At 48.9% G+C, this 13,149-nt stretch overlaps 1 annotated feature.

Moving 5' to 3' along the window:
* Positions 204–383: an enhancer, noted in NCBI's record as "active region_25571". NCBI's record gives its function as "activates an Ori minimal core promoter by ATAC-STARR-seq in GM12878 lymphoblastoid cells {active_cell/tissue: GM12878}" and the evidence as "EXISTENCE:reporter gene assay evidence [ECO:0000049][PMID:35858748]".

Genomic DNA, 13,149 nt, shown 5'->3' on the forward strand with positions numbered 1-13,149 from the left:
CACGGTGAAACCCCGTCTCTACTAAAAATACACAAAATTAGCCAGGCGTAGTGGCAGGCGCCTGTAGTCCCAGCTACTGGGGAGGCCGAGGCAGGAGAATCGCTTGAACCCGGGAGGCGGAGCTTGCAGTGAGCAGAGATCACGCCATTGCACTCCAGCCTGGGCGACGGAGCGAAACTCCGTCACAAAACAAAACAAACCTCCGAGCGGACCCAGACAGGGCGCCCTGTGCTCTTGTGAGTTTTACCTACAGAGGCTCAACCAGGTTCTCAGAGTGAATATTAGAGAAAAATCCCCTCGTGCCTCCAGCAGGGGGAGGGGAAGAGAGACAAGCCCGGGCTTTCCGTTCTTAACAAGGCCAACCCTCAGGAGAAACTACTTAACCACAGCTGAACCTGCTGGGGCTTCATCAGTGCCTACCTGACCTGGGGGAAGAAAAATACCCAACTCCAGCTGGCCCTAGCCTTCCACCTGGAGAAAAGGAAAAACCCAACCCCAGCCCCCAGGAGCCGTCCTGTCCCGCCTCAGCAGGTGACTTGGGGTGTTAATAAGCACTTATGAAGTCCAGTCCAGAGGCACAGGCTCACTAAAGGATTAAGATCTGGCCGGGCACAGCCGGGCGCGGTGGCTCACGCCTGTAACTCCAGCACTTTGGGAGGCCGAGGCAGGCGCATCACGAGGTCAGGAGATGGAGACCATCCTGGCTAACACGGTGAAATCCCGTGTGTACTAAAAATACAAAAAATTAACCGGGCGTGGTAGCAGGTGCCTGTAGTCCCAGCTACTCGGGAGGCTGAGGCAGGAGAATGGCGTGAACCCGGGAGGCAGAGCTTGCAGTGAGCACAGATTGCGCCACTGCACTCCAGCCTGGGCGACAGAGTGAGACTCTGTCTCAAAAAAAAAAAAAAAAGATCTGTCCGGGCACAATGGCTCATGCCCAGAATCCCAGTACTTTGGGAGGTTGAGGTGGGAGGATTGCTTGAGCTGAAGAGTTTAAGACCAGCCTGAGCAATATAGTGAGACCTCATCTTTAAAAAATAATAATAATTTAAAACAAAGATTAAGACCTGCTCAGAGGACTATTACAGAAGGCTTCTCCTCCCACCACACCTTACCACTACTCTCCCCCAGGTCTATTTATAGCAGCTCCTTTTACCCAATAAATTATGTCCAGTTATCGGAGAAAAAATTACAAGGCATAATAAAATGCAAAAACCATCCAGAAGCTTTGTAGAAGGTGTTTTTTTAAAAGGTCAGCCGGGCGCAGTGGCTCACGCCTGTAATCTCAGCACTTTGGGAGGCCGAGGAGGGTGGATCAGCTGAGGTCAGGAGTTCAAGACCAGCCTGGCCAACATGGTGAAACTCCCATCTCTACTAAAAACACACAAAAATTAGTTGGGCATGGCGGTGTGCGCCTGTGGTCCCAGCTGCTCAGGAGGCTGAGGCAGGAGAATCGTTTGAACCCGGGAGGCGGAGGTTGCAACGAGCCAAAATGGCACCACTGCCTCCAGTCTGGGTGACAGAGCGAGATGCCATCTCTAAATAAATAAATAAATAAATAAGTAAATAAAGAGGTGGGGAAAGCTATACCATGATAATACTAAACAAAGAAGACCTCAAAGCAAAGAAAGTTATCAGAGCTTAAGAGGCATTACAGCCAGGTGTTCCATTCACATCGATAATCCCAGCACTTTGGGAGACCAAGGTGGGGGGGATTGCTTGAGCCCAGGAGTTTGTGATCAACCTGGGCAACATAGCAAGACCCTGTCTCTACAATAAATAAAAATATATGTACATATATCAGCTGGTCATGGTGGTGCATACCGTAGTCCCAGCTACTTAGGAGACCAAAACTGGAGGATCACTTGATCCTGGGAGCTCCAGATTTCAGTGAGTCATGGTCACACCAGTGTACTCCAGCCTCGGTGACAGAATGAGACCCTGTGCCAGGAAAAAAAAAAAGAGGGGCATTACAGAATGATAAAGGAGTCCGTTCTCCAAAAACACATAATTAATCCCTAATGTGTATGCACCTAACAAAAGCATCAGAATACATGAGGTTAGAAGTGCTGGAACTAGGCCGGGCACAGTGGCTCACGCCTGGAATCCCAGCACTTTGGGAGGCCGAGAAGGGTGGATCACCTGAGGGCAGGAGTTCAAGACCAGCCTGGCCAACATGGTGAAACCCCGTCTCTACTAAAAATACAAAAAATTAGCCGGGCATGGTGGCAGGCGCCTGTAATCCCAGCTACTTGGGAGGCTGAGGCAGGAGACTCGCTTGAACCAGGGAGGTGGAAGTTGCGGTGAGCTGAGATTGCGCCATTGCACTCCAGCCTGGGCGACAAGAGCGAAATTCTGTCTCAAAAAAAAAAGTGGTGGAATGGCACAGAGAAATTGATAAAGTACGATGGTATTTCAAGACTTACTGTAAAGCTACGGTAATCAGGACAGTGTGATATTAGTGAAAAAAATAGATAAATAGATCAATGAGCCAGGTGCAGTGTCTCACGCCTGTAATCCCAGCACTTTGGGAGGCCAAGGCAGGTGGTTCACTTAAGGTCAGGAGAATGAGACCACCCTGGACAACATGGCGAAACACTGTCTCTTAAAAAACAAAATAGATCAGTTGAATAGAACAGACATCTCAGAAACAGACCCACATAAATAGAGTCAAATGACCTTTGACGGAAGAGCAAAGGCAATACAATGAGCAAAGACAAAGACGGTCTTTTTAACAAATGTTGCTGAACAACTGGATGGACATCCACATGCAAACAACTGAGTCCAGACTCTGACCTTACACACTTCACAGAATTAATTCAGATGGATCAGAGACCTAAATGTAAAGGTCAAAACCATAAAACTTTTAGAAGGTAACACAGGAGAAAATCTAGATAACTTCAGGTTTGGTAATGACTTTTTAGATACAACGCCAAAGGTGGGATTCATGAAAGAAAGAATTGGGCCGGGTGCAATGGCTCACGCCTGTAATCCCAGCACTTTGAGAGGCTGAGGTGGGCAGATAACCTGAGGTCGGGAGTTTGAGACCAGCCTGACCAACATGGAGAAACCCCACCTCTACTAAAAATACAAAATTAGCCAGGTATGGTGGCACATGCCTGTAATCCCAGCTACTCGGGAGGCTGAGACAGGAGAATCACTTGAACCCGGGAGGCAGAGGTTGCAGTGAGCCGACATCATGCCATTGCACTCCAGCCTGGGCAACAAGAGTGAAACTCCGTCTCAAAAAAAAAAAAAAAAAAAAAAAAACAGAAAAAAAATTGCTAAGTTGGACTTCACTGAATTAAAAAATGTCTTCCCTCTGAAAGATGTTGTCAAGAGAATGAAAAGACAAGCCGCAGACTGGGAGAAAATATTTGCTAAAGATATAGCTGATAAAGAAGGACGGTTGGCCGGGCGCGGTGGCTTACTCTTGTAATCCCAGCACTTTGGGAGGCCGAGATGGGCAGATCACGAGGTCAGGAGATCGAGACCATCCTGGCTAACACGGTGAAACCCCGTCTCTACTAAAAATACAGAAAATTAGCCAGGCGTGGCAGCATGCACCTGTAGTCCCAGCTACTGGGGAGGCTGAGGCAGGAGAATGGCGTGAACCTGGGAGGCGGAAGCTTGCAGTGAGCCAAGATCACACCACTGCACTCCAGCCTGGGCGACAGAGTGAGACTCAGTCTCAAAAAAAATAAAAAATGAAGAAGGACTGTTAACCAAAATATACAAAGAACTCTTGAAACTCAACAATAGGAAAACAACCTGATTTTTAAATGGGCCAAAAGACCTTAAGAGACATCTTTCCAAAGAAGATATACAGGTGGAGACCGGTCACGGTGGCTCACACCTGTAATCCCACCACTTTGGGAGGCCGAGGCAGGCAGATCACAAGGTCAGGAGATCGAGACCATCCTGGCTAATACAGTGAAACCTCGTCTCTACTAAAAATACAAAAAATTAGCTGGGCATGGTGGCAGGCACCTGTAGTCCCAGCTACTGGGGAGGCTGAGGCAGGAGAATGGCATGAACCCAGGAGGTGGAGCTTGCAGTGAGCCAAGATCACGCCACTGCACTCCAGCCTGGGTGACAGAGCAACACACCATCTCAAAAAAAAAAAAAAGATACACAGGTGGCAAATATGCATATGAAAAGATGCTTCATATCATATGTCATTGGGAAAATGCAAACTGAAACAATGAGATACCTCTACAAACCTATTAGGATGACAAAAATCCAGAACACGGCAGAGCACAGTGGCTCATGCCTGTAATCCCAGCACTTTGGGAGGCCGAGGCGGACGGATCACCTGAGGCCAGCAGTTCAAGACCAGCCTGGCCAACATGGTGAAACCCCGTCTCTACTAAAAATACAAAAATTAGCTGGGCGTGGTGGTGGGCGCCTGTAATCCCACTACTTGGGAGGCTGAGGCAGGAGAATTGCTTGAACCCGGGAGGTGGAGGTTGCAGTGAGCCGAGATCGCGCCATTGCACTCCAGCCTGGGGGACAAGAACGAGACTTCATCTCAAAAAAAAAAAAAAAAAAATCCAGGACACTTGGCTGGGCGTGGTGACGCATACCCATAGTCCCAGCTCCTCAGAAGGCTGAGGCGGGAGGATCAATTGAGCCCAGGACGTTAGGGCTGCAGTGAGCTATGATGGCACCACTGCTCTCCAGCCTGGGTGACACAGCGAGACTCTGTCTCAGTGGAAAAAAAAAATTAATGCTGTATGATTCCAACTATATTACATTCAGAAAAGGCCCAACTATGGAGACAGTAAAAGGATCCGTTGCTAGGGTCTGGAAACAAAAGGTTGCCAGGGACAACCTTTTGTCCCTGGGACGGATGCACGAAGGGAGGGACGCATGAAGAGGCAGAGCACGGAGGATTTTTCGGGCAGGGAAACGCCTCTGAGAGAGCTCTAACAGTGGATGCATGTTCTGACACATTTATCCAAACCCATGACATGCACGACACCAAGACGGACCCTAATGCAAACTGTGGACTTTGTGTGAAAATGATGTCAATATAGGTTCCCTGATTGTAACAAATGTACCACGTTGGTGGAAGATGATAATGGGAGAGGCTATTAGCACGGGCAGGGAACATGTGAGAACTCTCTGTACCTTTCGCTCAATGTTGCCATGAATCTAAAACTGGCCTAAAAAAGTCAAGTCTATTAAAAAAAAAAGACGCGGTGAGCATTGGGAAGAAAGGGACAGGGCACATGCCTTCCTCATGGAAATCATGCAAACATATATTAAAAAAAAAAAGACACAGTGAGCATTGGGAAGAAAGGGACAGAGCACATGCCTTCCTCATGGAAATCATGCAAACATATCTTCTGAAGAAGACCCCACTTTTTTTATTTTTATTTTTTTTGAGATGGAGTTTCGCTCTTTCACCCAGTGGCATGATCTTGACTCACTGCAACCTCCAACCCCCAGGTTCAAGCTATCCTCCAGCCTCAGCCTCCCGAGTAGATGGGGTTATAGGCGCCCACCACCATGCCTGGCTAATTTTGGTATTTTTTAGTAGAGACGGGGTTTCGCCATGTTGGCCAGGCTGTTCTTGAACTCCTGACCTCAGGTGATCCACCTGCCTCAGCCTCCCAAAGTGCTGGGATTACAGGCATGAGCCACCGCGGCCGGCCAGACCCTACTTTTGAGTGGGGTCTTCTGCAGATGAGCCTGAGAAGGCCAGCAGGATTAGGTGACCAGGAAGAAAAGAGATCTTTGCATCTTCAGATGTATGGGAGCACCGCCCATGGCAAATCTAAACATGAGCAGCTCCGGGCACCATGAAGTGGGCATAGGAAGATCAAAAGAGACTGAAGAATCTTTCTTTTTTTTTTTTGAGACGGAGTCTAGTTCTGTCACCCGGGCTGGAATAGAGTGGCATGCTCTCAGCTCACCGCAACCTCCATCTCCAAAGTTCAAGCGATTCTCCTGTCTCAGCCTCCTGAACAGCTGGGATTACAGGCATGCATCACCACACCGGCTAATTTTTGTATTTTTAGTAGAGATGGGGTTTCACAGTGTTGGCCAGGCTGGTCTCAAACTCCTGGCCTCAAGTGATCCACCTGCTGCAGCCTCCCAAAGTGCTGGGATTACAAGCATGAGCGACCATACCCGGCCCAAAAGAAGCTGAAGAATCTTAATTTTAACTTTCAAATTTTATTGATGTAATTATTGTTAGAGTCAGGGTCTCGCTCTGTCTCCCAGGCTAGAGTGCAGTGGTGCAATCACAGCTCACTGTAGCCTCCAACTCCTGGCCTCAATCAATCCTCCTGCCTTAGCCTCCCAAAGTGCTGCACTTACAGATGTGAGCCACGGTGCCTGGCCCTTAATTTTTAAAAAAAGCTTATGTATCTCAGAAAATATTTCTTTCCGGCCGGGCCTGGTGGCTCACACCTGTAAGCCCAGGACTTTGGGAGGTGGAGGCAGGCGGATCACCTGAGGTCAGGAGTTCAAGACCGGTCTGGCCAACATGGCGAAACCATGTCTCTACTAAAAACACACAAAAAAGTTAGCAGGGCGTGGTGATGGGTGCCTGTAATCCCAGCTACTCAGGAGGCTGAGGCACAAGAATCGCTTGAACCCGGGAGGCGGAGGTTGCAGTGAGCCAAGATCGCACCATTGCACTCCAGCCTGGGCAACAAGAGTGAAACTCCATCTCAAAAAAAAAAAAAAAAGAAAAAGAAATTGTTTCTTTCCAACAGGAGAGAGCCCAGCACTTATAGGGAAGCCCTGAGCATGGATTCAGGTTAAATGGCATTGGATCATGGCGGGTAACTGCAAGAGAAGCAACTACAGGGTTGTGAGGGGATGAAGGAGCCAGAAGGAACAGATCTCAGGATACAGATAACAGCCTTGAATCCGCCAGGCACGGTAGCTCATGGCTGTAATCCCAGTACTTTGGGTGGCTGAGGCAGGCAGGTCACCTGAGGTCAGGAGTTCGAGACCAGCATGGCCAACATGGTGAAACCCCGTCTCTACTAAAAACTACCGCGGGAGGCTAAGGCGGGTGGATCACAAGGTCAAGAAATCAAGACCATCCTGGCCAACATGGTGAAACCCCATCTCTACTAAAAATACAAAAATTAGCTGGGCGTGGTGGCACACGCTGTAGTCCCAGCTACTTGGGAGGCTGAGGCAGGCGAATCACTTGAACCCAGGAGGTAGAGGCTGCAGTGAGCCGAGATTGCACCACTGCACTCCAGCCTAGCACCAGAGCTGAGACTGTGTCTCAAAAACAAAACAAAACAAAACAAAACAAAACTACAAAAATTAGCTGGGTGTGGTGGGATGCACCTGTAACCCCAGCTACTCAGGAGGCTGAGGCAGGAGAATCGCTTGAACCCAGGAAGCGGAGGTTGCAGTGAGCCGAGATTGCACCATTGCACTCCAGCCTGGGTGACAGAGCAAAACTCTGTCTCCAAAAAAAAAAAAAAAGTAGCTTAAACCAATAGCCAAGGGAGTTAGAGTCACCAGATACTTGGTTCTCTATAGAAATTAAAGATAACATCTTGGGCCTGGTATGGTGGCACACACCTATATTTCCTTCACTTTAGGAGGCCAAGGCGGGCGGACTGCTTGAGCTCAGGAGTTTGAGACCAGCCTGGGCAACATAGCAAGACCCCTGCCTGCACTAAAAATACAAAACATTTGCCGGGCGTGGTGACACATGCATGTGGTCTCAGCTACTCAGGAGGCTGAAGTGGGAGAATCACCCGAGTCCAGGAAGTGGAGGCTGCAGTGGGCAATGATTGTGCCACTGCACTCCAGCAGCTGGGAGAAGGGAGTGAGACCCTGTCTCAAAAAAAAAAAAAAATCAGTGAGAGGAAGCAAGGACTGACCTTCACAGGGTCCAGATGCCTGGCACAGTGAGGCCAACCACCCACACCAAGGTTTGCAGCGAGAAAAAAGAGGGCATTTATTTGCAGGGCGCCAAGCAAGGAGAATCTGGCAGCTTTACATCCAGAACTCCCTGCTGGCTTGCAGGTAGGCGTCTTTAAAGGTAAGGAGGCGGAGGTTACGGCAAAGTCATAAATCAGTATGGAGGCTATACGTTGGTTTGGCCCTAAAAGGTGGGATATCTTAAAGTGGGGGCTTACAGGTCATAGGTGGATTCAAAGATTTTTTTTTTTTATTTCTAATTGGTTAAGGAAGAGAAAACTTTGTTTAAAAATGCGGAGTTGGCCAGGCGCAATGGCTCATGCCTGTAATCCCAGCACTTTGGGAGGCTGAGGGGGGCGGATCACCTGAGGTCAGGAGTTCAGGACCAGCCTGGCAACATGATAAAACCCCATCTCTACTAAAAGTACAAGAATTAGGTAGGATGCGGTGGCGGGCACCTGTAATCTCAGCTACTTGGGAGGCTGAGGCAGGAGAAAGGTAGAACCTGGGAGGCAGAGGTTGCAGTGGGCCAAGATGATGCCACTGCACTCCAGCCTGGGCAACAGAGCAAGACTCTGTCTCAGAAAAAAAATAATAATATAATATAAAAATAAAATAAAAGTACAAAAATTGGCCAGGTGCGGTGGCTTACGCCTGTAATCCCAACACTTTGGGAGGCCAAGGCGGATGAATCACCCAAGGTCAGGGGTTGGAGACAAGCCTGGCCAACATGGCAAAACCCCATCTCTACTAAAAATACAATAATTAGCTGGGCGTGGTGGTGGGTGCTTGTAAGCCCAGCTACTAAAAAGGCTGAGGCAGGAGAATTGCTTGAACCCGGAAGGCAGAGGTTGCAGTGAGCCGAGATCATGCCACTGAACTCCAACCTGGGCAACAGAGCGAGACTCCATTTCAATAAATAAATAGGCGGGGTGGGGTGGCTCACACCTGTAATCCCAGCACTTTGGGAGGCCGAGGTGGGTGGATCACGAGGTCAGGAGTTCGAGACCAGCCCGGCCAAGATGGCGAAACCCCGTCTCTACTAAAAATACAAAAATTAGCCAGGCATGGTGGCATGCACCTGTAATCCCAGCTACTTGGGAGGCAGAGGTTGCAGGGAGCAGAGATCGCACTACTGCACTCCAGCCTAGGCGACACAGCAAGACTCCATCTTGAAAAAATAATAATAACGATAAATAAATAAATTCTAAGAGGTAGCACTTAGCCATCAGAGGTGAGAGAAATACACTGATCATACGGGTGGCAACGCTGGAATGAGAACCATGGCGTCCTAACCCCAAGCAATCAGTGGCAATGGGAAATAGACCTAGCGGTGTTCCTAATGGATTGACAGCTACCCAGTGATGTCGTGGCTTGATCTACACAACAAAAACAACAATAAAAGAGGTCAAGAGCAGGCCAGGTATGGTGGCTCAAGCCTGTAATCCCAGTACTTTGGGAGGCCAAGGTGGGTGGATCACCCGAGATCAGGAGTTCGAGACCAGCCTGGCCAACATGGTGAAACTCCATCTCTACTAAAAATACAAAAATTAGCCAGGCATGCTGGTGCGTGCCTGTAGTCCCCACAGCAACTTGGGAAGCTGAGGCAGGAGAATCGCTTGAATGCTTGAACCTGGGAGGCAGAGGTTGCAGATCACGCCACTGCACTCCAGCCTGGGGGACAGAGAGAGACTCTGTCTCAAAAAACACCACAACAAAAAACAAAACAAAAACACCAGCACCCACAAAGGCTCAGCGGCATGCAGCAGTGTGGTGCGATTGGAGTCCCTCTGGTTCCTAGAATTGGAGTAAGGGGTCTGGCCTCTGTCCTCCAGGTGCCGGGGAGGGAAGGAAGTAGGGGAACCACACACTCAGTGTCACAGGAGGGTGTGGCATGGGTGCTGGGAAAAGGTGGTGCTGCCATCTAGGGCAGGAGCTGGTTCCACGTTGACTTGGGGGGATCAGAGAATGCAGATTCCAGGAGACAGAGTCCAGAGTTTTCAAAGGAAATGGGCAGGTGGTGGCCACTGAGGGCAGTGCCTAGGTTCCTGGCTGCTGAGCTTCTTTTATTTTTCTTTGTATCTTTTTTTTTTTTTTGAGAGAGTCGTCTTTCTCTGTCACCCAGGCTGGAGTGCAGTAGCGCAATCTCGGCAGACTGCAACCTCTGCCTACTGGGTTCAAGCGATTCTCATGCCTCAGGTTTGCCAGAAGCTGCGTTTACAGACGTGCACCACCATGCCCACCTAATTTTTGTATTTTTAGTCGAAACAGAGTTTCACTATGTTGGCCAGGCTGGTCTCAAACTCCTGACCTCAAGTGATCCACCCGCCTTGGCCTCCCAGTGTTGGGATTACAGGCGTGAGCCACTGCACTCGTCCTGGCTGAGCTTAAAAATAACACCATATTTCATTAGATCTAGGGCACCATCACCTGTAAGATGCATGTTTCTCTTAGGTACTACTAAGAAAGAGAAATCAGGCCAGGCAAGGTAGCTCATATTTGTAATCCCAGCACTTTGGCAGGCTGAAGGGGTCGGATCCCCTGAGCCCAGGAGTTTGAGACCAGCCAGGGCAACAGAGCAAGACCCATATCTACAAAAAAAAATTTTTTTTTTTAAATTTTCTTTGAGATGAAGTCTTGCTCTGTTGCCCAGGCTGGAGAGCAGTGGTGTGATCTCTGCTCACTGCAACCTCTGCCTCCCCAGTTTAAGCAATTCTTCTGGCTCAGCCTCCCAAGTAGCTGGGGGTTACAGGCGCATGCCACCACGCCTGGCTGATTTTTTTTTCTTTTGTTTTTTCCTTTGTATTTTTAGTAGAGACGGGGTTTCACCATGTTGGCCAGGCTGGTCTCGAACTCCTGACCTCAGGTCATCCACCAACCTTGGCCTCCCAAAGTGCTGGGATTACAGGCATGATCCACCGAGCCCAGCCTCTACAAAAAAATTTTAAAAATCAACTGGGCATGTTGGCACACGCCTGTAATCCCAGCTACTGGGGAGGCTGAGTCAGGGGGATCACTTGAGCCCAGGAGGTTGAGGCTACAGAGAGCTATGATCATGCCACTGTACTCCAGCCTCAGCAACAGAGCCAGACCCTGTCTCTGAAACAGAAACAAACAAAAAAAGACAGAAAGATAAATCACTGACAGTTAATTTTGCCAACATTTTTATCTTGTACTTTTTCAAGCATTCAGAGAAGTTTAACAGAATTGTATCATGAACACATGTACGGCCACCTCCCAGATGCTACTACTGGCATCTTACCCTATTTGTCCTGTCATGTATCTATCCCTTGATACATTCATCCATCCTTTTTTCTTTTTTTTTCTTTCTTTAATTTTGAGACAGAGTCTCACTCTGTGTCCAGGCTGAAGTACAGTGGTGCTGCCTTGCAACCACCCCCGGCTAATATTTTGTATTTCGACTAGGGATGGGGTTTCACCACATTGCCTGGGATGGTCTCAAACTCCTGACCTCAAGCCATTCCCACCCACCCCCTTTGCTTCCCAAAGTGCTCTCAAAGCATGAATCACTACACCTGGCCAGAATATATATATATAGTTGTTGCTGTTGTTTTTGTTTTTGCCTTTTTTGAGATGGAGTCTCACTCTGTCGCCCAGGCTGGAGTGCAGTGGCGTGATCTCGGCGCACTGCAACCTTTGCCTCCTGGGTTCAAGCGATTCTCCTCCCTCAGCCTCCTGAGTAGCTGGGATTATAGGCATGTGCCACCACATCTGGGTGATTTTGTATTTTTAGTAGAAACGGGGTTTCACCATGTTGGCCAGGCTGGTCTCAAACCCCTGACCTCAGGTAATCCACCGCCACGGCCTCCCAAAGTGCTGGGATTACAGGCATGCGCCACCGCGCCCGGCTGATTCTATATATATTTAAAGGGCTTTGGCTCACACATGTGTCTGCATTTGTTAACCATCAGTGAACGTTCACTCAAAAGTTATGCATTGCACCGTGTAAATTTCCCCTGCCAAAAACGAAGCGGTAAACACATATTCAACTCTAGTTAATAGTATGCATGCTGAAGTGCTTATCGTGATGTTTGCCAGCTACTTTGAAATGCATTTTTAAAAATGATGGGGCAGGTGTGGTGACTCACGCCTGCAGTCCTAGCACTTCAGGAGGCTGAGTCAGGCAGATCACTTGAGTCCAGGAGATCGAGACCAGCCTGGGCAACATGGCAAGACCCTGCCTCTAGAACAACTACAAAAATTAGCCAGGTGTGGTGGCGTGCCTGTGGTCCCAGCTAGCCGGGAGGCTGAGGCAGAAGGATCACCTGAGCCCAGGAGGTCGAGGCTGCAGTGAGCTACGATCATGCCACTGCACCACTGCACTCCAGCCTGGGTGACAGAGCAAGACCCTGTCTCAAAAAAAAAAAAAAGAATCGCAGAAAGTTCCATCATGCCTGTTCCACTCAATCTTCACTGCCTGTTCTGACTAGCTTTGCCTATTCTAGAACTTCTTAGAAATGGAATCATTCTAGATTCCTTAGAACGTGTTTGAGATCCATGCAAGTTGTGGGCATCAGTAGTTCACTTATTTTTATTGTCAGGTGGTTTTCTAGGGCATAGGTGCCCCATAGTTTGTTGAATCCTTCTGCTGTTGATCAACACCTGAGCTGTTTCCAGTGTTTGGTTATTATTGACAAAAAAAAATCATTGATTTCTTTTTTGTTGTTTTTGGTTTTTGTTTTGTTTTGTTTTTTTGAGACCGAGTCTCACTCTGTCGCCAGGCTGGAGTGCAGTGGCATGATCTCGGCTCACTGCAACCTCCGCCTCCCAGGTTCCGTGATTTTCCTGCCTCAGCCTCCCGAGTAGCTGGGATTACAGGCATGCGCCACCACGCCCAGCTAATTTTTGTATTTTTAGTAGAGACGGGGTTTTACCATGTTGGCCAGGATGTTCTCGAACTCCTGACCTCAAGTGATCAACCCACCTCGGCCTCCCAAAGTGCTGGCATTACAGGCATGAGCCACTATGCCTAGCCTTTTTTTTTTTCTTTTTTTTAAGATGGTGTCTTGCTCTGTCACCCAGGCTGGAGTGCAGTGGCGCAATCACAGCTCACTGCAGCGTCAACTTCCTGGGGCCAGACGACCCTCCCAGACGACCCTCCCACCTCAGCCTCTCGAGTAGCTTGGACCACAGCTGTGCACACAGCGCTGTGAGATTACAGTGAGCTATGATGGCGCCACTGCACTTCAGCCTGGGCAACAGAGGAAGACTCCCCCTCTAAAA

This window comes from Homo sapiens, chromosome 7 (assembly GCF_000001405.40).
Source record: "Homo sapiens chromosome 7, GRCh38.p14 Primary Assembly".
NCBI lineage: Eukaryota > Metazoa > Chordata > Mammalia > Primates > Hominidae > Homo > Homo sapiens.